At 38.7% G+C, this 25,695-nt stretch overlaps 1 protein-coding gene across 2 annotated transcripts in view; it reads right to left on the reverse strand.

Annotated features, from left to right (window-relative positions):
• C1orf87 (chromosome 1 open reading frame 87) overlaps positions 1-25,695 on the reverse strand; it is an 83,377-nt gene that overhangs the window by 18,463 nt on the left and 39,219 nt on the right. For both annotated transcript variants that reach the window (NM_152377.3, XM_017000307.2), the window contains 3 exons: positions 24,620-24,785; positions 16,545-16,642; positions 1,536-1,600 (listed from right to left, as the gene is read on the reverse strand). In NM_152377.3, coding sequence (NP_689590.1) covers positions 1,536-1,600; positions 16,545-16,642; positions 24,620-24,785 — 329 coding nt within the window. The remainder of the gene's footprint in view (positions 1-1,535; positions 1,601-16,544; positions 16,643-24,619; positions 24,786-25,695) is intronic.

Consider the following 25,695-nt stretch of genomic DNA (forward strand, 5'->3'; position numbering starts at 1 on the left):
TCTGAAATCCTTCCTCCAGCTGCTTGGCATTTCCGTGGAGACCCTAGAACCATCTGTGTGGTGACACTAGCTACTAGATTCTGATAGTAATACCCCTTCCTCTATGTTCCCTTAGCCTTAAGGTGGTAGCTGCTTTCTACAGTTACTAATGTCTGGATTACCTCCCTGTAGTGGATTGAATTGTGTCCTCCTCAAAAATATGTTCAAGTCCTAATCACTGGTACCTGTGAATCTGAGCTTATTTGGAAACAAGATCTTTTCAGATGTAATCAAGTTAAGATGAAGTCATTCTAGATTAGGGCAGGCCCTACTTGGAATGACTGTTGTCTTTATAAGATAAAGAAGAGGAACACTTGGATACTGAGATATATAGAAGACAGAAAGAAGAAGGCCTTGTGAAAACAAAGGCAGAGATTGGAGTTACACAATAACAAGCCAAAGGAGGCCTGTGGCTGCTAGAAGCTGAAACCGGCAAGAAAGAACTCTTCTCTAGAGTGTTCAGGGAGAGTCTGGCCATGCGTACACCTTGATTTTATATTTCCAGCCTCCAGAACTGAGAGAATAAACTTCTATTGTTTTAAGCCACCAAGATTGTGGTATTTTGTATGGCAGCCCTGGGAAATGAATATACTCACCATATTCTTTTTTATCCCTCAGCTTTGGATACTTACATAACCAATCCCCTGTAGTAAATTCCCTCTGCTTGAAATACCTAGTAAAGTTTCTTAGGTTTTTCCACTTGGATACAGACTGATATATTTAATCCCGGACACACACACACGCACACACACATGCGTGCACATTCAGTACTTTAATTTTGATCCAAAGGGCAATCAGTAAATGGTTGATGGATATAGTAAATAGAAAAACTACAACAGCAGATTAATATCAATGCATATTTTTTCACCTGTCATATTTAAAACTTGCTAATTGCTAAATATTTTCCCCAATGCATCGTTACAATTTTCACTTAATAATATGTCTTGGAAATCTTCCTGTAGCAACCCAGCCATGTTATTTTACAACTGCATCGTTTTATCAATTGGTTATATTGTAATTTAATTAAATAGCCCACGAAGGATCTTTCTGCTATTTCTGTTTTTAAAAATGTTTACCAAAAAAACCTATACACTAAACATATATATACATCTCACAGGTCTTTTTTTTTTTTGTGGAGACATCAGTGGAATAAATACCTAGCTATGAGCTTCTTTGATCTAAGCGACTGTGCACCTGAAATTCTGCTAAATAATACTAACTTCCATAAATGTACTGCATTCATCTATAAGGGCTACCACTAGAGAATGTCTCATGATAAAACTTGGAGAATTGTGCCTTTTATGATCCAACTGGCCTAAAAGAATAGCCATTAAGGTGATTCTAACCCCCATTTTTCCTTCACTGGGGAGCTATTTACATTTCTGAGAGAAATGAGATGAAACCCAACAAGCAAACCACTCAAACTAGGCAGCATAGTCAACAATAGCTGTGAAAAATGGAAGGTCTCTCTGGAGCAAAAAAATAATGGAACTCACCTGTAGGCAAATCAGATAACAAATCAGAAGAAGCTCTGGTCAGCATCTCAACAAAATTCTGCCATCTGTGCAAGAAAAGGAAACATAAATTGGTGATCAATATGATTGCCCTGAAAGAATGTCCAGTGAAGCTCTGTTTATATTGGTAGTGATATTGAATAAGCTTTTTGATACTTCTATCATTTAAGGTCCAATGCAGGAAACAGAAACTACTTTGTATATCTTTATTAAAAAGGGCTTTGATATAGGGAATTATTGCAAAGCCATTAGAACAGAAAGTTCTAAGTCTAGGGTCAGGCCTCAGCAGATGTGGTCCAGAGATCAGGGAACAGCAAGAAAATCTGGCTGATGTCTCAGTTTCCCCTAGCTATGAAGTTGTCATCAGGCAGTACAAATTGCTTTCTGGCCACTGGAAAATGAAACAAAAACAAAACAAAACAAAAAAACACTTGCCAGTTTCTGCAGTTGCTACTGCTGTTGATATAAATAAATAAATAAATAAATAAATAAATAAATAAATAAAAACTGTCTCCGTGCCACTGGCCTCTCACCACTGCTTCTGCCTTTCAAATCTCATGAAATTGCATCTCACCAACAGAATTTAAAGCAGTTCTAGAACTTTGTGTCAAGAGGGTTTCAGAAAGGTTCTTTCTAGCCTTCACAAGTATGGAAAGCATTACAACAGAGAAAAAACATAGAAGGGGATAAATATGAGTTCTGAGTGCAAGAACACAATAGTCAGTGAATTCCCAAGTGGAAATTACATTGAGTAATATGTCTGCAAGAGACAACCAGGTAATCATTTAAAGCTTAAAAAGTACTTTAGCAAAACTTTGACATTGAAAATCACTTATATTTGCTTGCCCAGCATCCACCTTCCATTTATATATAAATATGCTCTTCTCTGGGGTGACAGCTACTGGTTTCCTTTTGAATACAGTATGGATGGGACTACGGTATGGTCAAAGTCCCATACCTTGCCCTAGCCAACGTTGTGACCCACCCCCTCTAGTTAATCTCAATCTATTTATCCCTTCCTCCCTTCTTCCCTCCCTCACTTCTTCTCTCTCTCCCACTGTCTCTGCCTTACTCTTTGGTTCTATTCCTTTCTGAAGTTTATTTTTCTCCAATTTTGTGTTAATTCATATCCTTTGAAAATATTTCCTTTTACTTGTGTTAGCAAAAGACAGTTTCTGTTGCTAGCAACCAAACCTCAACTAAGTATCTTTATCTTTCTCCATCTTGTCCATCAGAAGACGTCAAGTGAAAATGAAGAGCAAGTTGGGAAATACATATGCTGGGTTTTTAAAGAAAAGTTCTAATGTCATATGACTTTATTATCTTTAAATAAAATGAGTTAAATAGGTAACTAGTTTATTTTGCTTATACTTCATGAAGGCTTTCCTATATATGACATAACATTTAGAGAAATTATTTGGTCAGGGTAAGTATCACAATATTGGGCTTTGAACATGTGACCTCCAGAGTTTCATGCCACTTTGGGCACATGATTAGACAGATAAGTGATGGATATGCAGGACTGCTAGTCAGATAAGCTGATGACTATATCAGATGTGGTAGGTCTAGGCAGGTAAGAGAAAGTTGAACAAGAAGTAGCAAGCACTTTTGAGGAATATTAATAATTATATAAAGATCTGATATTAGCACAGATCTGCAAATAAACTACAATGGAAGCATCTCCTGTCTTCTACACTTCCTGCAATTTCTTTCCAGACTATTTTAAGAAGTCCAGGTTTATGGCTACAGCACCTTCTGACGCTTTGATGAAAAAAAAAACACAAAACAACAACAACAACAACAAAAACCTAGATCCATTAATATTTACACATTACACAACATTTATTTTTTCAGAGATGTTAGGAATTATCAGGTAGTGTTCTCTTAGATATCAGGTATGATATGAGATAACGCCTCTGGATAAAATGACACCAGAAAATTTTCTGCCCATTCTTGATTATATGCTGACAGCAGGGGAAGCAGATTGAGGGAAATTTTTTTAACTATATTGCCTGATTTGAATGGTATAGGACTTACATGACCAATACAATTTTTAAGATCCTTCTAACAAAATATTTCTTTTCTCCCACGTTCTTTACATTACCCCCAAGACCTTCAAAGTGCTATTCACAACTTAAATTTGGGAGTGGGTTCTAGTTGCCATAGCAGGCACTATAATTCTAATAACAAAAGTAGGTACCAAACCTCCAATGTCAAGCCAGGCAGATCAGGACTGGAGGACAAGTTCTGTGAGCCTGATTCTAGATTCAGGCAGACCTGATTTCGAATCCCACTTTAACTGAGTTTTTCAAGTTAAAATGGCATGGAGTGAACATTCTGAGTACTTTTTGTGCATTATCTCATTTAATTGAGACAACCATCTTATGGGGCATGTAAGTGACTTGTCCAAAGGCACATGGATCAATGGGACAGCAGGGATTTATGCCCTGACTCCAAATCTATTCGAACGTAATGTAACTTGACTTCATTTACATTTTTGTGGTCTTCGCAGTTCCATGGACACAGCTGTAGTGTCTTCTGACATTTATTTTTGCAGAAGTCTGATGTCAGTCTGATTTTTGGTCATTTGTAATTAATTTTCTCTTTATTTGCTTTGGTTTAGTTTTATTGGGTTTTTGGCCTGGATCCCTGAATAATTGCCTTTGTCTTTATAATATAAAAGTTTTGTTGGAATGATGTGAATACATTTTTTCTTAATTTAGCTTACATCACACTGAGTCCCTTCAATCTGTACAGCTGTACCAGCTCTGCAAAGTTTCTTTAGTTGGGACTTCCGTTTTTATTTCTTTTTCCATTTTTTCTAGTTTTCTTTTTCACAATACCAAGGCCTCTTAGGTTGAATCTCTATTCTGATTCTTTCATATCTACTATCCTCATTTTCTTCTTGGTTATTTTTCTCTAGATTTTGTAAAAGCCTCTTAAATTTGACATTACATATTGATTCCTCGTTACCTCTTAATTCTGCTATGAAAGTTTTAGTTTTCTTGAAATCCTCCATATTTACCAAAATTCTTTCTAGTTTCTTCTGTTCATGTTTTGTGCTTTTTAAGTTTCATTTTTGTGTCCTTTAAATCTCATTATGTTGATTACTTTCCAATTCATTTCAGTAGAGGACATGGCTTCTTATACTCTACAAAAAAATCAATGGTTTTCTAAATTTTTCTTAGAGTAGATTAATTTAAAAGGTCTGGTGAGATTTGGAGCCTGCAGAATTGTGGCTCCCTTTCCATGTTTTGTAGTGTATATTTGCTTTTTTTTTTTTTTAATTAGGTGTTTTGCTTCAAATGAGTATCTATTCACATTCAGTACAACCCAGCAGATGAGCTGCACTGATTTCCTTTGGCCTTGCTCACTGCTCACTAGACCTGAAGTCAAGGGCAGATGACAACTTCCATCCATTCCTGGTGCCTCTCAGGCATACACCTGGTGCACCTTGGTAGGGCAGAGATAGGATTTTCTCACCACATTTGTTGTATATCACATACCCCATATTGGTATAGTATGCCATAAGCTATATGCTCCTCATCATATACAACTGACAATGATCTTCCTCTCCGTACTAACCTCTACAACTTTATTATCAGATATTACCTTCATCAGATGCAAGCACCATAGTCATATTTTTCCCCTTACCACCTTGCTTACTTCAACTTTCTGCTGTCATTCTTGATAGTTGAGCTCTCCAAATAGGCACAGAAGAGTTGTGTGTGGTTAAGTGTGTATCCTTGGGCAGGGGAGGGAAGGAAAGGAGATGTGGGGAACCAGAGTGCTCGGGCTGCACAATAAAACAACACTTGTGTAATTTTCTGGTTGGTCAAGACTTGGGTCCCCAAATCAAGGGGAAGATTGTGGTGAAGGGATAGAGTATTTTCTGTTTTCTGCACTTCTTATGGGTGGTTAGGGCACAGCTTGGGGCAAGCAACTAATTGATTTTCCCATATTCCGTTTATTTATAGTTAGTGAAGATTTCTTTTGTACATTCTGACACTAGAGTCCCTGTTAGTCAGTTTTTGCTACTCACGTGTTGTTTGTTTCTTTCCTTCTTCATAGAAATTTTAGTTGGGGGTTGTTAGGCAGATGTCATTTTATACAAAAAGCCTTATATATTAAAAAAAACAAACAAACCTAAAGCACTAAACACACAAAATATAGGCTATTTTATTGAAACATCCTTGTAATACTGATGAAGGTAATTTCAGCTGGTATGCTCTTCTATGAGGGTTATGAAGGCTTAAGTCAAAAGGTTTGCTGGTGTTCACCTCCCAAGCCCATTACCTTTCTTTGCCTCCTGAAATGTATGTTCCAGCCATAATGAACAGTATGTACAGTATGTAGTTCTCCAAACTTATTTTTGCTTGGCTTTTGTCTCAGCACATACTGCTCCTTATCTCTGAAATACTCTTTCCCGTCTCTTACCTGGTTAGCTCCTACAAATCCCACCAAGCTCAGCTGAGACATAGTATAGAATATTGATAAAGAGTTAGCTCTGTTCAGACTGCCAGGATCAGAAATTAAGTCCCATGATTTGAAGAATTGCCTTCAGAATCCTGTAATCCTCTACTTCAGTCAAGGGAAACAAAATATGCCAGAAGGAGGAGCCAGACAGGAGGATTACGGAAGAGGCCTTTAGCCTTTAGGGACTATATTAGTTTGCTGGGGCTGTGTTACGGTCTAAATGTTTATATCTCCCTCACATTCATGTGCTGAAATCCTCACTTCCATGGTATTAGGAGCTATGGTCTTAGGGAAGTGATTAGGCCGTGGGGGCAGAGCCCTCATGCATGGGATTAGTGTTCTTATAAAGGAGGCCTAAGAGACACCCTTTTCTGCTTTCACCATAGGAGGTCACAGTGAAAAAAACACCTGTCTCTAAGGAAGTGGACCCTCACCAAACACTAAATCTGCTTCTGTCTTGATCTTGGACTTCCTGGCCTCCAGAAATCTGAGAAATAAATTTATGTTGTTTATAAACCACCCAGTCAATAGTATCTTGTTATAGCAGTCCAAATGGTCTAAGACAGGCTGCCATAACAAAATACCGCAGATCACATGGCTTAAACAACAGAAAATTATTTTCTCACAGTTCTGGAGGCTACAAGTCCAAGATCAAGGTGTCAGTAGGTTTAGTTTATTCTGAGGCCTATTTCCTTGGCTTGCAGATGGCCACTTTCTTGCTGTGTTCTCTGTGCATGGTCTTTCCTCTGTGCACCTACATCCCTGGTGTCTTTTTGTGTGTCCAAATGCCCACTTCCTATAAGGACAGCCTTCAGATTGGATTAGAACCCACCCTAACAGTCTCATTTTAACTCAGTTATCACTTCTTTATTTTCACTTTTTGGCAGACAGAGTCTCACTCTGTCTCCCAGGCTGGAGTGCAGTGGCACGATCTCAGCTCACTACAAACTCTACCTCCTAGGTTCAAGTGATTCTCGTGCTTCAGCCTCCAGAGTAGCTGAGACTGGAGGCATGTGCCACCACACCAGCTAATTTTTGTATTTTTAGTAGAGGCAGGGTTTTCCCAGGTTGGCCAGGCTGGTGTTGAACTCCTGACCTCAAGTGATCCTCCCACCTCGGCCTCCCAAAGTGTTGGGATTACAGGCATAAGCCACCATAACCAGCCTATCACTTCTTTAAAAGGCCCTCCAAATATAGCCATATTCTGAAGTACTGGGGATTAAAACATCAGTATGTGAACTTTGGAGGGATACAATTCAGCCTTAACAGCCCTAACAGAAGTAAGAGTCAAAGAAGCCTAACTTTTGAGAGTAATTTATGTAATGTCTCTAAACCTTAGTTTACTCATCTGTGAAGTGGTTCTAAAAGGAAAACCAACTCATGGGGTTGCTGGGATTATGCTGTGTAGCCATGTAGAGCATCTAGCCCCATACCTGGATGTATTAGGTGCATATGCATTAATTCTTTATCCAATCAAGTCAAGGGGTTATTTTGATCATGTAATTTAACCTTGCTACTGAGACACTCATTCACTTGCATTGTTTTTCTATGCTTTAACCTTCTTGTTCATGTACTAAGTTATATTCTTTCCACCTTTCAGTTAACTGGGAGAAGTACAGCCCTTCCCTGATATAGAGGCAATAAACTCTGAAATCTAAACAAATGAATTTTATTTTTCCCTTTTGACAGATGGGAAAATTAAGGTTAAGAGAAATTTGTTACTTATCCAGGCTCCAAACCTAGTGTATTTCAGAACCAGGTTGCCAGCTAGGACTCATGCTGGGTTTCTCCATAGATGGGGGCTGAAGAGGTGGTAGAAGGGCTACACTGGTAAGGAAAGGTTGCTTCCAAGCTCTGGGCTTGTTTGGATCATACCTGCCCCTGGAGCTTAAATGTTTCCCTCTTTGGTATTCATATCTTACATGCCTCCTGGGTCCTGGAAGAGAGGGCAAGAGATCCTAAACTCAAATCCAGAACTCTGTTCAGCATCAAGCCCAAGGGTGAAGCCAGCTCTGGAACTTAGGCAGTTTGGCCAAAGCCTCTGTGCCTAGTCATTATCTTATAAACTGAATTTCATGGGACTTGTAGGAGAATCAGTGTAGTGTAGTGACCAAGAGCCAAGACTGAAGGTAGAGAACCTACATTTGACTTAGCCTTATTGACGAATTCATTTATTAGTTGTGTATTGGTTTTAGCCTCTCTGTGCTGCTGTGCCTCAGTTTCCTCACTTGAAAAATAATATACCTACTTCATGGGAAAGTTGCAATAATTAAAAGAGTTAATATTTATAAAGCACTTATTATTATTTTCTGGAAGAGAAAAGGCAGCAGGTCTGATTTCTAAGGCACAGCCAATGGGCAGATCTATACCGTATTTCTAATAGCTTGCTACCTAACACTTTTCCTATTCCCGTCAGAAGTAATTGCTGAATCAGACACCTCAGGTTTCCTTCATCTTCTAAAATCCTCTGGTTGTTCCTGGGATTAGCAAAACCAGTCTTTTTCAACTTAATTGCACTCTCAGTAATGGACCAGATGTGTATGATAAGTCCTACTTGTGGCTGTGTCAATTGCTCCCCTCTTTTCATGAAGCTTCCATAGCAGCTTTATTATTTATCCCTTCCCCCAACACAATTTGGCTTGTGTGCATGTGTTTTAAACTGGTTTGAAGCATTTAATTTTGCCAATACAATTTTAGAGTATTAGTTTGCCTCCTGTTCTCTCTCTGCCCTCCTTAATTACCATTTATTGCAAAGTCACACAGAAACATTAAATGCTAATTCTGATTTACATGTTCCTGGCCAAGAACACGGATAATAATTTCCATCCAACAAAACCTGAACTCATTTTACATAAGGGTGATTCAGAGTAGAGATTTGAAATCGTAATCAAGTCTTTCTCAAAATCGCCTTATCCTGGCAGTCATTCACTAATGTCTCTGCTAATTGGTAGGCAAATGGCAAAAAAACAAATCTCAATGTTAAAAAAACAACAACAACTTTGTAACAGGGTTTGTGAAATTGCTCCTCTCATCAACTCTCACAACATGACAGTTTAAGGAGGAAGCACAACTCATTTTATTTGGTTAGATGGGGCTAATCCCACATCACCATAATCCCTCCTGATGTTTTATTGATTCTAAAGGACATTTAGTCAGGAAGCAGCTCAGCACTAGAATCCTGCTAATTAGCAAGCAGCCACATTCCAAATGGGTTCCCAATTGAACAGCAGATTAATGGACAATATGTACTAAAATAATGATTCGTGCATTCAGCTTCTAAAATGTGTGTCTAAATTACATCTTTAATCTCTTAAGGATATAGGTTTGCATACAAAGCCCTTAACAAAATGGATTTAATTCAACAAAAGAAGCTTTAGCCAATGACTGTTTAGGGATGAAACAGGTATATTTCTTATAAATGCAATTCTTTTTTAGTTCTTATGGTTGTGATATCCTTGAACATTTAAAAGTCAAAGACAGGTGAATAAAGAAATCTGTGTGCTTCTCTGATCTGCACAAAAACAGTGAGAAATTGAGAGTGTTGATAGGATAGTAAGTAGCCTAACACTATTTGCTCCGCATTTTCTCTTGGTCTCATATTCCCGATTCTCAGAATCTTGGTTCTGGATCTCAATTTTTAATCAACAAATATCTATTGAGTCTCTACTACGTACAGGTATAATGTGAGCTTTGATACTTGCTTTTTCTTCCTTTAGATTGGTGCCTTTTTGGTAGTCTTAATTTTGGCCTTGTAATTTTCTACTCGGCTCTTAGCTCAGTTTTCTGCATTTCCAGCTTAACCACACCTCTCGCCTTCATCCAACCACCCCCAAGGTTTCAAAGAAGGCAGACTCTCATGTCCAAAGCTGGCACAGTGGAAATTCATTGACTAAGCTCAATATCATAACCTCATTATTCATATGTTCATCGATTGATGTGGCTCATAACCTTTACCCTTTATTTTTCTGTATTGCTCTTATCACCATGTGATATGCCATATATTCTAACTTATGTATTATTTATCTTTCCCATTAGAATATAAGTTTCATGAGGAAAGGGGCTTTGTTTTATTCATATCTATATTCCTAGTGTGTAAGAGTAGTGCTTGGTATGTAGTAGGTACCCAGTAAATGCTTGCTAAATAAATGAATAAGTAAATTCCTTAAACATTTACTGTGTACCTATCATGTGCCAATGATATGGTTTGGCTCTGTGTCCCCACCCAAATCTAATGTCAAACTGTATTCTCCATGTGTTGAAGGAGGGGCCTGGTGGCAGGTGATTGGATCATGGGGGCAGATTTCCCTCATGCTGTTCTCATGATAGTTTTCACGAGATCTGATAGTTTAAAAGTGTGGCACGTCCCCCTCACTGTCTCTTCCTCTCTCCTGCTTTGCCGTGGTAAGATATGCTTGCTTGCCCTTTACCTTTTGCCAGGATCATAAGTTTCCTGTGGCCACTCAGCCATCCTTCCTGTTAAGCCTATAAATCTGTAAGTCAATTAAACCTCTTTTCTTCATAAATTACCCAGTCTCCGGTTGTTCCTTACAGCAGTGTAAAAACAGACTGATACAGAAAATTGGTACCAGGAGAGTGGGGCACTGCTATAAAGATACATGAAAGTGTGGAAGTGACTTTGGAACTGGGTAATGGGTAAAGGTTGAAACATTTTGGAGGGCTCAGAAGAAGACAGGAAGATGTCGGAAAAATTTTGAAACTTCCTAGAGACTTGTTGAGTGGTTTTAATCAAAATGCTGACAGTGATATGGACAATGACGTCCAGGCTGAGGTAGTTTCAAATGAAAATGAGGAACTTTTTGGGAAATGGAGTAAAGGTCACTCTTTCTACGCTTCAGCAAAGAGAATGGCAGCATTTTGCCCTTGCCTTAGATATCTGTGGAACTTTGAACTTGAGAGAGATGATTTAGGGTATCTGGCAGAAGAAATTTCTAAGTAGCAAAGCATTCAAGATGTGACCTGGCTGTTTCTAAAAGTGTACAGTCATAAGCATTTACAAAGAGATGGTCTAAAATTGCAATTTATGTTTAAAAGGGAAGCAGAGCAAAAAAGTTTGGAAAATTTATAGCCTGACTATGAGGTAGAAAGGAAAAGCACATTTTCTGGGGAGAAAGTCAAGCTGGCTGCAGAAATTTGCATAAGTGATGAGGAGCTATATATTAATAGCTAAGACAATGGGGAAAATGTCTCTAGGTCATTTCAGAGATCCTGGCAGCTCCTCCCATCACAGGCCTGGAAGTCTAGGAGGGAAAAATAGTTTCGTGGGCTGGGCCCAGGCTGGGCTTGAGGCTCTGTGCAGCCTCAAGACATGGTGCCCTGCATCCCAGTTGCTCCAGCTCCAGCTGTGGCTAAAACAGGACTCTGTGCCTGTACAGAGGCCGCACTAGGGCACTGCCTAGTGGGGTTTGAGAAGAGGGCTACAGTCCTCCAGACCCCAGAATGGTAAATCCACTGACAGCTTGCAACCGTGTGCTTGGAAAAGCCACAGGCATTCAATGCAAGCCTGTGAAAGCAGTCAAAGTAGCTGTACCCTGAAGAACCACAGGGCCAGAGCTGCCCAAACCCTTAGGAGCCCAACCCTTGCATCAGTGTGCTCTGGATGTGAGACATAGAATCAAAAGAAATTATTCTGGAGCTTTAAGATTTAATGATTGCTCTGCTGGGTTTTGGACTTGCATGGGGTCTGTAGCTCCTTTCTTTTGGCACATTTCTTCCTTTTGGAATGGGAGCATTTACCCAATGCCTGTACTCCCACTGTATCTTGGAAGTAAGTGACTTGTTTTTGATTTTACAGGCTCATAGGTAAAAGGGATTTGCCTTGTCTCAGATGAGACTTTGGACTTGGACTTTTGCATTAATGCTGGAATGACTTAAGACTTTGAGGGACTGTTGGGAAGGCATGATTGGTTTAGAAACATAAAAAGAACATGAGATTTGGGAGGACCTGGGGGCAGAATGATATTGTTTGGCTCTGTGTTCCCACCCAAATCTCATGTCAAATTGTAATCCCCATGTATTGAAGGAAGGGCCTGGTGGGAGGTGATTGGATCATGAGGGCAGATTTCCCCCATGCTGTTCTTGTGATGGTGAGTGAATTCTCATGAGGTTTGATGGTTTAAAACTGTGGCACTTCCCCCCTCACTGTCTCTCTCTCTCTCCTGCTTTGCCATGGTAAGATGTGTTTGCTTCCCCTTTGCTTTTCACTGTGATTGTAAGTTTCCTGAGGCCTCCCAGCCATGCTTACTGTACAGCCTACAGAACTGTGAGTCAATTAAACTTCTTTTCTTTGGAAATTACTCAGTCTCAGGTAGTTCCTGTAGTTCCTTATAGCACTGTGAGAACAGACTAATACAGCCAAGAACTAGGCTAGATGTTGGAAATACAGTGTGAGGAAAATAGTCATGCCCCTTGCTAGCATGGAGATCACTATGTAGACATTAAACTAACAAATCACACAAATACACACAATTACAAATACTGATAAGTGTTAGCAAATAAAATGACTGGGTGCCATGAGAGAGTACAGCACAAGGAACCTGATTTTGGTGAGGTGGGTAAGGAAGGCCTTCTTCAAGTTGCTCATGAGATAGGGACTGGGAAGAATTTACGTATCTGCATCCCTGAGAATATTTTGAGGGATTACCTCTCTAATTCAGTTCAAGTCAATGTATCCCCAACCCCCAATTCAGTTCAAGTCAATAAATATTTATTGAGAACCTACTATGTGCCAAGCACTGCTCTAGACACTTTGGATACATCAATGAATAAAACAAAGACCCTGACTTCCCCATGGCACTATCATCTACTGTCTGTCAGGGAGATACAGATAATAGCTATACAGATGATAAATCTGCAAATTACCTAATTCATTAGAGGTTGATAAGTGTATAAAAGAAAACAAAAAGAGACTAGCTGAAGGGGAACAAAGGATGGGGACCACAGCTTTAAATAGGGTGGTTAGTGTAGTTCTCATTGACAAGGAGATATTTGAGCAAAAACTTGAAGAAAGTGAGGGAGTTAGCATAAGGATATCTGTGGGAAGAGCTTTCAAGGTAGAGGGAACATTCAAAAGATAGGTGTTAAGGTGAAGTCTGCATGGTGTGTTTGAGGAAGAAAAGAGGCATGGTGTAACTGGAACAGATTAGGGAAAGGAAATTTTAGATGGAGCCAAAGTGATGGGGGAGCAACTCTTATAGAGGACTTTGATTTTTTTTTTTTTTTTTTGCCTTCTACGTGTAATAACATACTCTTGCAGTGTTTTGAGCAGAGTAATGATGCAAACACTTTTAGGTTTTTTAATAGACAACAATAGCTGTGGGAGTGAGGATAAACTAGGTATAAGAGTAGAAACAGAGTTCAGTTAGGAGGTTATTACAGAAATCCAGGAGAAAGATAATGGTAGTGTGGATGGGTGTTGTTAAGTAACAATAGAGGGGGTGACAGGGAACCAGATTCTGGATATGAGTTGATTTGCTAATTAAATAAATTAAATCAATAATTAACAATCTTTCAAAGCAGAAAGTACCAGGCCCAGTTGGGTTCACTGGTGAATTCTACCAAAAATTTGAGAAAGAAATTGCAGTAGTTTCCCCTTATCCACAGGGTATATATTCCAAGACCCATCGTGGATGCCTGAAACTACAGCTAGTACTGAACCCTATATATCCTATGCACAAATTTCTTTTTCCTTCTTCACAATTGTACAAATAGATTTGTTCTTTCTGTAGATCTTAGAAACCTCAGCATACATTTTTTTTCCCTCATTAAGTTGAAAGCCTTCATCTTTTCACATAAGAAAGTATTTTACAGTTTATCTTTGGCATATCCAAGTTGCCAGCATGACTACTTTTTTGCTTTGAGGCTATTAATAAGCAAATAAGCAAAATAAGAATTACTTGAACACAAGCACTGTGATACCATGACAGTCAATCTGATAACCAAGACAGCTACTAAGTGATTAACACAGGTGTAACATATACAGCACAGATATGTTGGATGAAGGGAAGATTCATTTCCCAGGCAGAACCGAGCAGGACAGAATAAGATTTCTTCATGCTACTCAGAACGGTGCACGACTTAAAACTTATAAATTACTTATTTCTGGAATTTTCCATTTAATATTTTCAGATCATAGGTAACTGAAGTCACAGAAAGTGAAACCACAGAAAGGGGAAGGCTACTATAATTTGTCTTTTTCTCTGTGTGCTTTTAAGGTTTTTTCTTTACCACTGGGTTAAGCAATTTGATTACAATGAACTTTTGCATGGTTTATTTCAAATTTCTTGTGTCTGAAGTTCATTGAGCTCCTTGCGTCCATGTCTTTATAGTTTTCTCCAAATTTGAAAAAAATGGCAGCTATTATTTGTTCAACATACTTTTCTTCTCTTCATCCCTCTCTTCCTTTTCTGAGATTCCAATTTCCCATGTATTAGGCTGCTGGTGTCACAAGGCCCAGTGATGCTCTGTTAGTTTTTCCTTCATTTTTTCACACTGAGTTTTATTTTACATAGTGTCCGTATCTATGTCGTCAAGCTCATTTATTTGTTATTGTGTTTTATCTTCCGTTGCTTCCATAACAAACAGTTTTCTTTCAGGTATTGTATTTTTAAAATAAACCTCATTTTTTAAAAGTAGTTTTAGATTTTATAGAAAAAAATTTAAGATAATACAGAGAATTTTCATATACTTCATACTTGTTTTCCCTTTTTGTCAATACCTTACAATCATATGATACTGTTGCTATGATTAATGGACCAATATTGATACATTATGATTAAAGTCCATAATTCCAATATCCTTAATTTTTACCTAATATTTCTTTTCTGTTCCAGATTCCCTCCAGGCTATCCCATTACATTTAGTCTTCATGTCTTCTTATGTTCTTGTTGGCTGGGACAGTTACTCAGATCTTCCTCATTTTTAATGGCCTTCACAGTTTTGTGGAGCACTGGCTGGGCATTGTGTAGAATGTCTCTCTGTTGTGAATTGTTTAGTGTTTTTCACATTATTACACTGGGGTTACATGTTGCAGGGGAGAAGACATTGTATTTTTTATCTCTAGAAGTTCTATTTGGATCTTTTTTAATCTTCCTTATCTTTCATTATGTTCATGCCTTCTTGAACAGGAGAAGTGTATTTATAAGTGTTCTTTTAATATGCTTGTTTACTAATTGTATTATCTGTGTTGTTTAGGAATCTGCTTTTATTAACTTGTTTTTCTGTGAATAATAAGTCCTACTTTTCCTGCTTCTTTTTGTGCTTAGCAATTTTTGTATACATTTTAAAATTGTGATTTTTGCATTGTTGATTGAGATTTTCTGTTCCTTTGAAATTGGGGGACTTTGTTCTTAGATAAAATTAAGTTGCTCAAAAACATTTTGATCATTTTCAAGCCTTGTTAGAGTTTTAAGATTTGTTGAGTTTGTCTGGGGTAATTTGGCACCATTATTACAATGATGTACTTTTTTAAGGTTTCTACTCAATGCCGTATGTGTTACGAGGTCTGCCTCACTAGCTGGTGGAAACATGAAGTATTCCCAATCCTATGTGAGATCTAAAAATGTTTCTACCTCTTTCTTTTGGTGTTACCTTTCCTGGCCTTGGGTAGTTTCCTCAAATGGACACATTAGCCAGCACTTACTTGAAGATTTAAGGGTAACTCTTGGAAATCTCCAGAGACGGCTCCCTGGGGATTTCTCACTTCTCTACTCCTCTGTGCTGTGCATTTTAGTCTTTTTGGCCTTCTTGAACTCGAAACTCTGTCCCTTTAACTCAGGGAGAATGCTGGGCTCTGCCTGAATTCCCCATTCCTATGCAATAAGCTAGGCTCACTTGCTTTATTTTTCTTCTCCCAGGAGTCATTGTTCTGTGCTGCTTGCCGTTCGATGTCTGAGAATCACTGCTTCATATATTTTGTCCTATTTTTAGTTGCTTAAGGTAGAATGGTAAGTCTAGTCCCTGATAGTCTGTAATGGTTGTAAGTGGAAGTTTCCTGCTTTGTTTTTCTATGGCCAAGAAGACCCTTTGGTCGCAATAAAAGCAAACATTCTTAACTCCATCAAGTGATGAAATCGATTGCTTCACACATAGAACTCCTACTCTAAAGACAGATCTATGTGACTGGCATCCTAACAGAGGACAGAATGAATAAAAAATTCAGGCTGCTATCACAAAATGTCATTCACTAGGTAGGAATCTAGAAAATCAAGATCAAGGTGCTGGCACCTTAAGTTCTTGCTGAGGACCCTCTTCCTGACTTACAGATGGCTACCTTTTGTATCTTCACATGGCAGAGACAGGAAACTCTTATGTCTGTTCCTCTCATTACAAAGACAATAATTTCATCATGGGGGTTTCACCTTTATGACATCATCTAAACCTAATCACCTCCCAAACCAGTCTCCAAAAACCATCATATTTGAAGTTAAAGCTTCACCATATCATTTGGGGAAGGGGTGGTGGATACAAACATTCAGTTCTTAATAAGAGTTGACTTACTTTATTTCATTTTGGTAACCCAAATCTTGATGGTTAAGCAATGTTTCCAGCAGGCTCAGGGTCAGATATAATCCATGCTTCCCACATATAGCCCTGACCTACAAGTTAAAAAAAAATAAAAAAGATTTGATGTTTCACTAGGATACAAAATGTTTCAATAGAATACAATTAATATTTGTTTTTTCTCATAATTGGAAGCTATATTATTTTGACAAAGAATTAATACCCAGGAGTACATTCTACCATTGAGGTATCCTTCAGGATACCATTTAGGACAAGAATGTGCAACTGAATGCTTACCAGCAAGTTTTTATTCAGTTGACACAGAGGTATATTTCATTACTCAGAAGTCACTGGGGTTTGAAATGCTGATCTTACATTTTTATCAGCCATGGAAGGGGTAGTCAATGCCTATGTATTACACATACTTGATTATATAGGTAAATTGCTAAATGTTTTTGTATCATCCATTTTGATTAGCCAAACAAGCTTGTTGTATTAGCAGGGTTAATATTACTATCTACATTTTATATATGAGGAAACAAAGACCTGGAGGGATTATTTCCTTAATGTCACATAGCTAATAAGTTATGGAACTTAGTCTAGAAACCAGATGCTCAGATAAATAGTTATTGAATGAATGAATGAGGTGTCATTGAAGTTTCCCAAGTTCATAATATGTTCTAAATCTTGTTCTGAACTAGTACAAACCAGTTCAGTTCTCAGGTTGGTGGGTAAGTGACACTTAGATTCAAATATTTCAAACTTTTAGGGTGTAGTAACTTTTGTTGTATATTTAGAATAATGGCTAAACATATAAATGATAGAACCAAACAGACCTTATCTGAGCACAGATCTGCTGCCTGTGATCTCTCTGATCTTGGGAAGTTACTTAACCTTTTTTAGGTCCTACAACTTCATTTACTAAACAAGACTAGTACTTTCTATTTCCCAGGATTCTGTCAGGATTGCATGATAAAATTAGCATTTAGGATAGTGCCTGGTTCTTATTAGGCATTTGATTAATATTTGATGAAATAAAGAAAAGACAGAAGGAGGAGAGAGGAAGCAGAGAGAGAGGAAAGAAGAGAGAAGAGGGGAGAGTACAGAAGAAGGAAAATAGAGAAATGGAAGAAGGAAGAAGAGAGGAAACAAGGGAGGGAGAGAGAGAGAGGTAGTGGGGTATCAAGGAAGGAAGGAAGGGGAGAAGGAAGGAAAAAAGAAATGTCAAGTTTAATGTGTGGACTATTTACACTAAATTAGACATTTCTAATAGTAACTACATAAAAAAATGAATATATAAGTAAATAATAGCAACTACTAAAATTAGCTATTTAGTCCAAACATAACTACAGTTGAGCATCTCTAATCCAAAAATCCAAAATCTGAAACTTTTTGAGTGCTGACAGGTCACCACAAGTGCAGAATTCTACACATTTGTATTTAACACAAACCTCGTTTCATGCACAAAATTAATACAATTATTGTATAAAATTACCTCCAGGCTATGTGTATAAGTGATATACAAAACATAAATGAATTTCATGTTTAGATTTGAAGTTCTGTCCCCAAGATAGCTCATTATGTATGTGTAACTATCCAATATCCAACAAAACGTTCAAAATCCAAAACACTTCTGGTCCCAAATATTTCAGACAAGAGATACTTGACCTGTATTTTTAGTCACTGTTACTATTTTTAGAGGAAGCTCAGTCTAGTGCCTGTATTAAGCCTATCTTTTTATATTGATACTTCAGCCTTCGCAGGGCTTTGTTGACCCTGGAGAGACTGCCCTTCCTGAAGTCTGCCTTTTATCAGCTAACCAACTTATCCAAAGCCCATACTCCAACCATCTCTTTTATTGATGCACTCACAGAGCCACTATTTCCCTGCTCTAACCACCCTGGGGCCAAGTACAGAGCCTGCTGGTTATGCAAGCCAGCCAATCCTAAGCCTGTTTACCCTGCTCTGCCCATTCCCCACAAAAAAATCTCATGCCCACATTCCCCTCACTCTCTCTGCCTCCTGACAGAACCTGGCGCTTCCTCTGGCCCTGCATGGTGTGGCCTGGCCCCGCATGGTGTGGCGTGCCTGCTCCTCTTAGCAACCATGAGAAACAGACTATCTTTTCAGTAGCAGTCATCTCATCTCCTGATCTGTTGGTTTCACCATACCTGAATAATTATAAAACCAACATTTTAAAATGACAACAAAAAGCTCATCTTCGTTTTTCTTTATGAAAGGAAAGACAACCAATCGGGTTTGAAACTTGCATGTTCCTGTGTATAGAGGAGAAATGTCAGGGAAGCTTAAAAGAGGGGAAAAAAAAAAGATTGATTTGAAACATGAAAAAACGAAGAGTTTGCTAGAAGAATAAGGAGTTGGGGGGCATTCCAGGCTGAGGAAAAGCATGTGTAATTATGGGGGAGAAAGAGCACGGTGCTTTTTAGAAGCAGCATATATTTTGACATTATCTGTTCTGCTATCATACCCCTTTCCAGGCTGGGCAGTAATTATCTGTCATTTGTTGAGCATTTCTACAAGGTGGTGGCTTACTCAGGGCTGGGATTGGGTATCATTCATTTTCTTATCACCATTGGCTAGCAGAGTATTGAAAAATAAAGGATCAATAATTATTGAGTAAATGTATATATGGGTGAAAGAGGCCATGAATGCATGAGCTGAATTCACTGAAGAGTGGAATGTGTATGAGTGGAGGTTGGCAAAAAAATAAAGTTCAAGAGTCAGAGATTGGTCACACTAGGCCATTTTACTCCATAAATAAGAACTGAACTATCTTCATGATTAGAACATATTGATGTATTTTTAAATATCAATATTAAGAGATTATTCTAAAAACAGATCACCTACTTCTGGCAACACTGAGTTTTGCTTTAGGCTAAAATGAACAGCATATTAGAAATAGTACATCAGGGTTCCTAGAAGCAGACTGATGGATAGCTGCTAAGAACTGACTGCTGCCAGTTAGAGAGGCACAACAGAAACATCTACCAGAAAATCACAGCAATTCCACGTTATTCACGATTATTATTAAGATCCATTAAAACATCAATATTCATAATGATGACCCTTGGTAAGAAAATGTTTCTATGTAGTTTATTCTGTTTAATAAGGAAATGTTTTTAACCAGAAGTAAATAAAATATCTGTTATTAAAAAAACATGTGAAATAAACATTCATTTCCCCAAAATGCTCCTTGAAAGATCAGTGCACACTGTCTCAGAGCCCTCTTTTCCCACAGATAGCTCCATTTGCATTTTACCTCTTCATTCTGCTTAAACTCTGTTTACCAAGTTACTAGGAACCTCCGTGGTTTTAAATTTAATGAATACTTTTCAATCCTATTTATAGATGATCTTGTTGCAGCATGAGACATGGCCGATCATGCCATCCTTCTCCAAACTCTCTTTGTTTTTTGCTTTTTTTTTTTCCACTCCCATGTCTCCTTTGATTGTTTTGAATTTCCTTTCTTGGCTTCTCTTTGTTTACTACTCCTTAACAATGAGTGCTCTCCTCAGCCTTCTTCCATTCTCACTTGTCATTACATCCTTGGGTGATCTTAACTACTATGAATTCCACTCCATATTGAAAAGTCTTAAATCACTATTCAGTTTTCACCTCTCTACCCAGATCAACGTGTTCAAAACTGAACTCATCACTCCTTCCTCTACCCCTCTCAATTATTCCTTTTCTGTTTCCTATCTCAGAGAATGGCACCACTATCCATCAAGTTGCCAAAGCCAGAACCTTGGGAGTCATTCTAGATTTCTCCTAAGTCAGGGCCCATATCTAATTAGTCATCAAGACTTGCTTTTCTACCTCCTTGATGTCTCCATCCCTCCTGTTACTGCCTTGGCTTAAACCCTCATAATTTCTTGCCTGGATTATTGAAACAGCCTTCTAAAAGGTCTCTCTGCCCCTAATTTTGCCTGATTCTAATCAATTCTCCAAATTCGATTGGAATGCTTTTTTTTCCCATTTGAATCTGATCATATCATTCACTTGTTTAATACCCTTCAATGATTCCTTTGGACCTTTAGTATAAAATTCATGCTCCTTAGAAAGACCCTTCATAAACTGGCTCCTACTTTCCATTCTAAAGTTGACTTGAGCAGGACTTACCCTTTCCTGAATTAGCCATGCTCTCATGTCAGTGCTTTCACATTGCGACTTCTACCGAGAACACTTTTCCCATCTCTTCCCCTGTCCCCCCAAGTTTTTTTTTTTTTTTTTTTTTTAGATGGAGTCTTGCTCTGTCACCCAGGCTGGAGTGCAGTGGCAGGATCTCAGCTTGCTGCAACCTCCGCCTCCTGGGTTCAAGTGATTCTCCTGCCTCAGCCTCCCAAGTAGCTGGGACTACAGGCATGCGCCACCATGCCCGGCTAATTTTTTTATTTTTAGCAGAGACAGGGTTTCACCATGTTGGCCAGGATGGTCTCCATCTGTTGACCTTGTGATCCGCCCACCTTAGCCTCCCAACGTGCTGGGATTACAGATGTGAGCCACCATGCCCGGTCCCCCTGTCCCCGCATTCTTTGCCAAACTTGCCTGTCCTCTAAGATTCAGTGTTTACATCATCTCCTCTGGAGAGCTTTCAGGTGGGCACATTGGTGTTCCTTCTCTGTGTTCAGAGTTACTGCCGTCATTGCACTGTCACACAGAATTGTGATGACGTATTTAAAACATTGCCTTTCCCCTGAGCTCCTGGAGAACTCAGGAGCCCAAACCATAAAAGTCTGTTGTCCTCAGTGCCTACCACAATGCCCAGAACATATTGAGTGATTATTATGTCAAACGCAAGAATGGGTTAAATATGCCATATTGATCAGAAAGGTGGCTGTTGCATTGGAAGAGGAGAAACATTCAAAGTTAGTAAAAATCTTTTTTATACTTTTAAGGCAGAGCTTCCAGTTATAGAAAACACTAAATATGAAAACAGAACCTGACAAACTACAGAAGGAGGTCTTACAGTCCTGGTCCACTTAAACACATGTCCTAGCTAGAGTCTTGCCACAAGAATGAACTTCACATTCACAAACCCAGGCTATCAGTAAGGGGACTCCCTCCCAATGATGAGGAAGCTACATGAAAATGAAGCAAAGAGTAATTAAAACAACCTATGTTCTAGCTAGCTCTTCCTGGGAGGCAGGTTTGGGAGCAATTTGGGAGGGGTTTGTGCTATGAAGCAGAAAGAGGATGAGTTCAAATGTTGAAGAATATGGATTGTGTAAAAGGGTTAAACTGAGCCTGCATGCATAGAATGTCTTAGGTTCTACAACCCTATTGAATCTACATCTGACTTGGGTAATAGTTGGGGAAGTTAATAAATCAATGAATGTGTATCCACATTGCCTTGGCAGTCCTGACAGAAACCATCATTGCATTGAAGGTATGCTAGAGGAACAGGATGAGTGAGTCCGCAGAATGAAGATGACAGATACTTTATATGCTTCTATACTGATCTTTGTGGATGGTCAGATTCCATTGATTTTAGTGACAAGACCCATAGAATATCCTTTAAGGCTGCATTTATCTATCTTGGAAGTTATAGATTATCTGTGAACCCTCTGAAATGGTGGCAGTCTGGATGTGCTTTTAAATTTTTTTTTTAATCTTTCTGGAGAGAGAGTGCATAGCTTTCATAGTCTGTGATTCTCTCTTCTGCACCCAAAGGAAATTCAGAGCTACTTGTCAAAACAACCCCCACAAAAAACCCCTTTAACTCAGTCATAACCTTTCCTTGTCCACTCTGAAGTCCCGTGTTCAGGAGTAAGGGAGTTGAGGTGTGATAGTGGCTGCTTCTTGTTTCCAATGTCCCTTGGGCTTCAATTTGCCTCATGTTCTGGGGAAACAGAATTCTATTTCACATGCCTCCCAGAACTGTATTATGCTCTGAGTGAGTTCCAGATGTCTTAAGAGATGCCAGATGGCTCACGAAAGGCAGACCAGCTTCAAGGAAAATGTACCCCATTTCCTTGGATCTGAACCATAAAGTTAAGCTTTCAGGGACGGCTGTGGGGAGAAGAACATTCAAGATTCAAGGTCTGCCCTGATAACCAGACCTCAATGTGGCCATCACTTGACTGTGGGAAGATTCTCCTTTCTTAGGCTGTTTTGAAGTGAGACCCTCACCAAACACTGATTTCTTTTTTATAAGAAGGAGAGGAAGCATATTTAGTGAGGGCCTTATAAATCAGATAGTATGCTAAATGCCTTCACATATTTATTTTATTTAATCCTCACATAGACACAGGAGATAGATATTTGGGACCCAGATTTGCCAGTGGAAAATCTGAGACTCAAAGAGGTTTAGTAAATATATTTTGATTTTCAAGTTGTTTATGTTTCATTCTATGAGTATCATCTGAGAATATTCAAACTTCACCATTGGTTATGTGGTTTCTAATCTAAGAAGAAATTGCTGCTAAGAATTTTTAGACTAAGAGTCTATTTCTGTAGATCTTCTCACAAACAAGTAAAGGCCCCATGTGCTGTGTGGACTTTCCTGCAATGCTCTATTTCTCTTTCTCATGAAATATGCTTGCATGTATAATATTCAAACACACACACACACACACACACATACACACACACACACACAGAGTTTTGCCTTTGCACAGTTGATTTTAAATATAGAAGTTAAAAGAAAAATGCTTTTGTCCTAGAATAAGAACTCATTTTCAGCATATCATGTCCTTGCTCCTTAGTAAATATCACCGTTCTTTTAAATTCTCTGACTCCCTCAATTCCAACCTCTGTATACCTAGATGAAAGGCATTTTCCAATATTTCTAACAGGGATTTTTTGGCCTATAATTTCCAATTCTTTCTAATCTTCTGGAATTCTAACTCTTGTATATTGAACTCAATGGAATCATCCAGATATCTTCTACCTAATGAAGTGCCAATTCTGCCTCTCAGTTTCCATAACTCTTCTGGACTTTGAATCCTGGCCTTGCCACTTGTTAGCTGTGACTCTTGGGTGATTCAATTGGCCTCTTTGAGACTCAGGTTTTTTTTTTTTTTTTTTTTTTTGAGACTGAGTCTCGCTCTGTCACCCAGGCTGGAGTGCAGTGGCGTGATCTTGGCTCACTGCAACCTCCACCTCCCAGGTTCAAGCAATTCTCCTGCCTCAGCCTCCTGAGTGGCTGGGATTACAGGCATGCACCACCATACCTGGCTAATTTTTTTTGTATTTTTAGTAGAGATGGGGTTTCACTATATTGGCCAGGCTGGTCTTGAACTCCTGACCTGGTGATCCATCTGCCTCGGCGTCCCAAAGTGCTGGGTTACAGGCATGAGCCACCACGCCTGGCGAGACTCAGTTTTAAAAATTTATTAAATGGGTATTATAAGGACTACCTAGATTTTGTAGTATTTTGTACAGAATTAACTTTGTAAGTGTTACATGAGATAATGTAAGCAAAGCATTTAGCACGGTGCTTGGCACTTAGTAAAAGTGTAGTGATGATGAGGTGTTGCTAACAGAGTTACAGTAGTAGTGGTAATTATTATTTTACCTGTATCCAAAGAAGCCTTATGATGGGGTTTATTTGGCTTCAGAAGTTCCATGAGTTTTTATGGTTCTGGATTATCTTCCATGAAGCACATCTGCACTATTAATTAATGCTCCAAAACAGCATGGTAGCCTCTATTGGCAGTAAATTACATCGGTCCCTAAAATTTGGTTTTGCTAAGGGTTGGGACACCACATGCTGTTCTCATTGGAAGCCAGGAAAGAGTGTGAGAAATAAACATTTGGCCTTGCAAAAATAGTTGTTTTCCATTATGAAATATTATTTGAGTGTTGTCATATTCTCTATTATTAACATAAAACAGCCCAATATAAGTAATTCCTGGATCAATTTCACAATTCCTGTACATTTCACAATTCCTTTTCTGCCTTGTTTTTCACTTCTCAGGCAAAGAAAACAAACAACTGTGTAATGTAATCCACAGGCAGAATATGGATCAGCCCTGTGCCTTATTGCTATAGACCCAATGCCCTGAAGTGGCCTTTACAGAGGAACAAATCTGAAATTGAATTTTGGTTACCTTAGGTAGAGGGAGGCAGCCAGAGAACGAGCGATCTTCTTTTCGAAAACTCAGATTGAGATTGTCTATGTTGAGTCTGCCATTGGTTGTCCTTAGTGCCATCTTCAAAATCTCCAACAGACTCCTGTTCACTTCTGGCTGTGAGCTGGAGTGCTGAGGTGGAGTGCTGATTGTAGGGGAAATGGGGAAGGCTATGAAAAGGTTATCCACCCAAGGCAGCTGCATGCTTTCCTACTACATTTCTCAACTTTGCTACACACTATGGAACCAGAGAGCCCATCTACGTAGGCCCTCTCAGTCTTGGGAACCTGGTCATGAGGCCGCATGCAGACATTTCATAGCTTAACTCATACCTGCTCCATCTGAGTGAACTCTACCTAATCTCTTTTCCAAGAGGCACCAACCAATCTGACTACAACAAAGGCCAAAATTCTTAATCTATCTTTGTAACTCTTTTTTTTCTAGGTTGAGACAAAAAATAAGCAATCATAGTAGTTTACTTTATCTGCTTGATTTTACTTTTCTTCAACTCAGATAATTACTGATGACAAATGACATTTCGAAACTGCTCACTGCCACAAGCAAAGCAAAGCAGATTCCACCAGATCCCCATACCAAGACAGCCTAGTTCCCTGGGAGGAAATCCTGAACCAGCTGGATTTCCTGCATTAACCTTGACTCTGCTCCTTATATCTGAAAAACCCAGAAATGTTTGGGAGTAATTATTTACTTACAGTCTGGCATGCAAATGTACATAAGTATTAAGGTGGTCTGTCTAACAGACTATCGTTATTTTAAATAATAGGTGAAAAACAACAGGGTGAGATGTTATATTCACTGATTTTATGAAACTGGTTTGATATGTTTACTTATCTAACAGCCAAATGTATTTGTTCCTCCAGATCCAGGTGTACTATTGCTTCCTCTGTGAAACTTTTCCTGTTTTCCATTGTCTCAAGTTAAACACCAAGTTCCCTAGAGGGACAGTCCATGACATTGCTCAACTTCTACCCATCTAAATTGGGTTTCTTTCAGTGGTATACTGGTAAATCTTTAACAATCAGCTTTGCAAGATA

This window comes from Homo sapiens, chromosome 1 (assembly GCF_000001405.40).
Source record: "Homo sapiens chromosome 1, GRCh38.p14 Primary Assembly".
Lineage (NCBI taxonomy): Eukaryota > Metazoa > Chordata > Mammalia > Primates > Hominidae > Homo > Homo sapiens.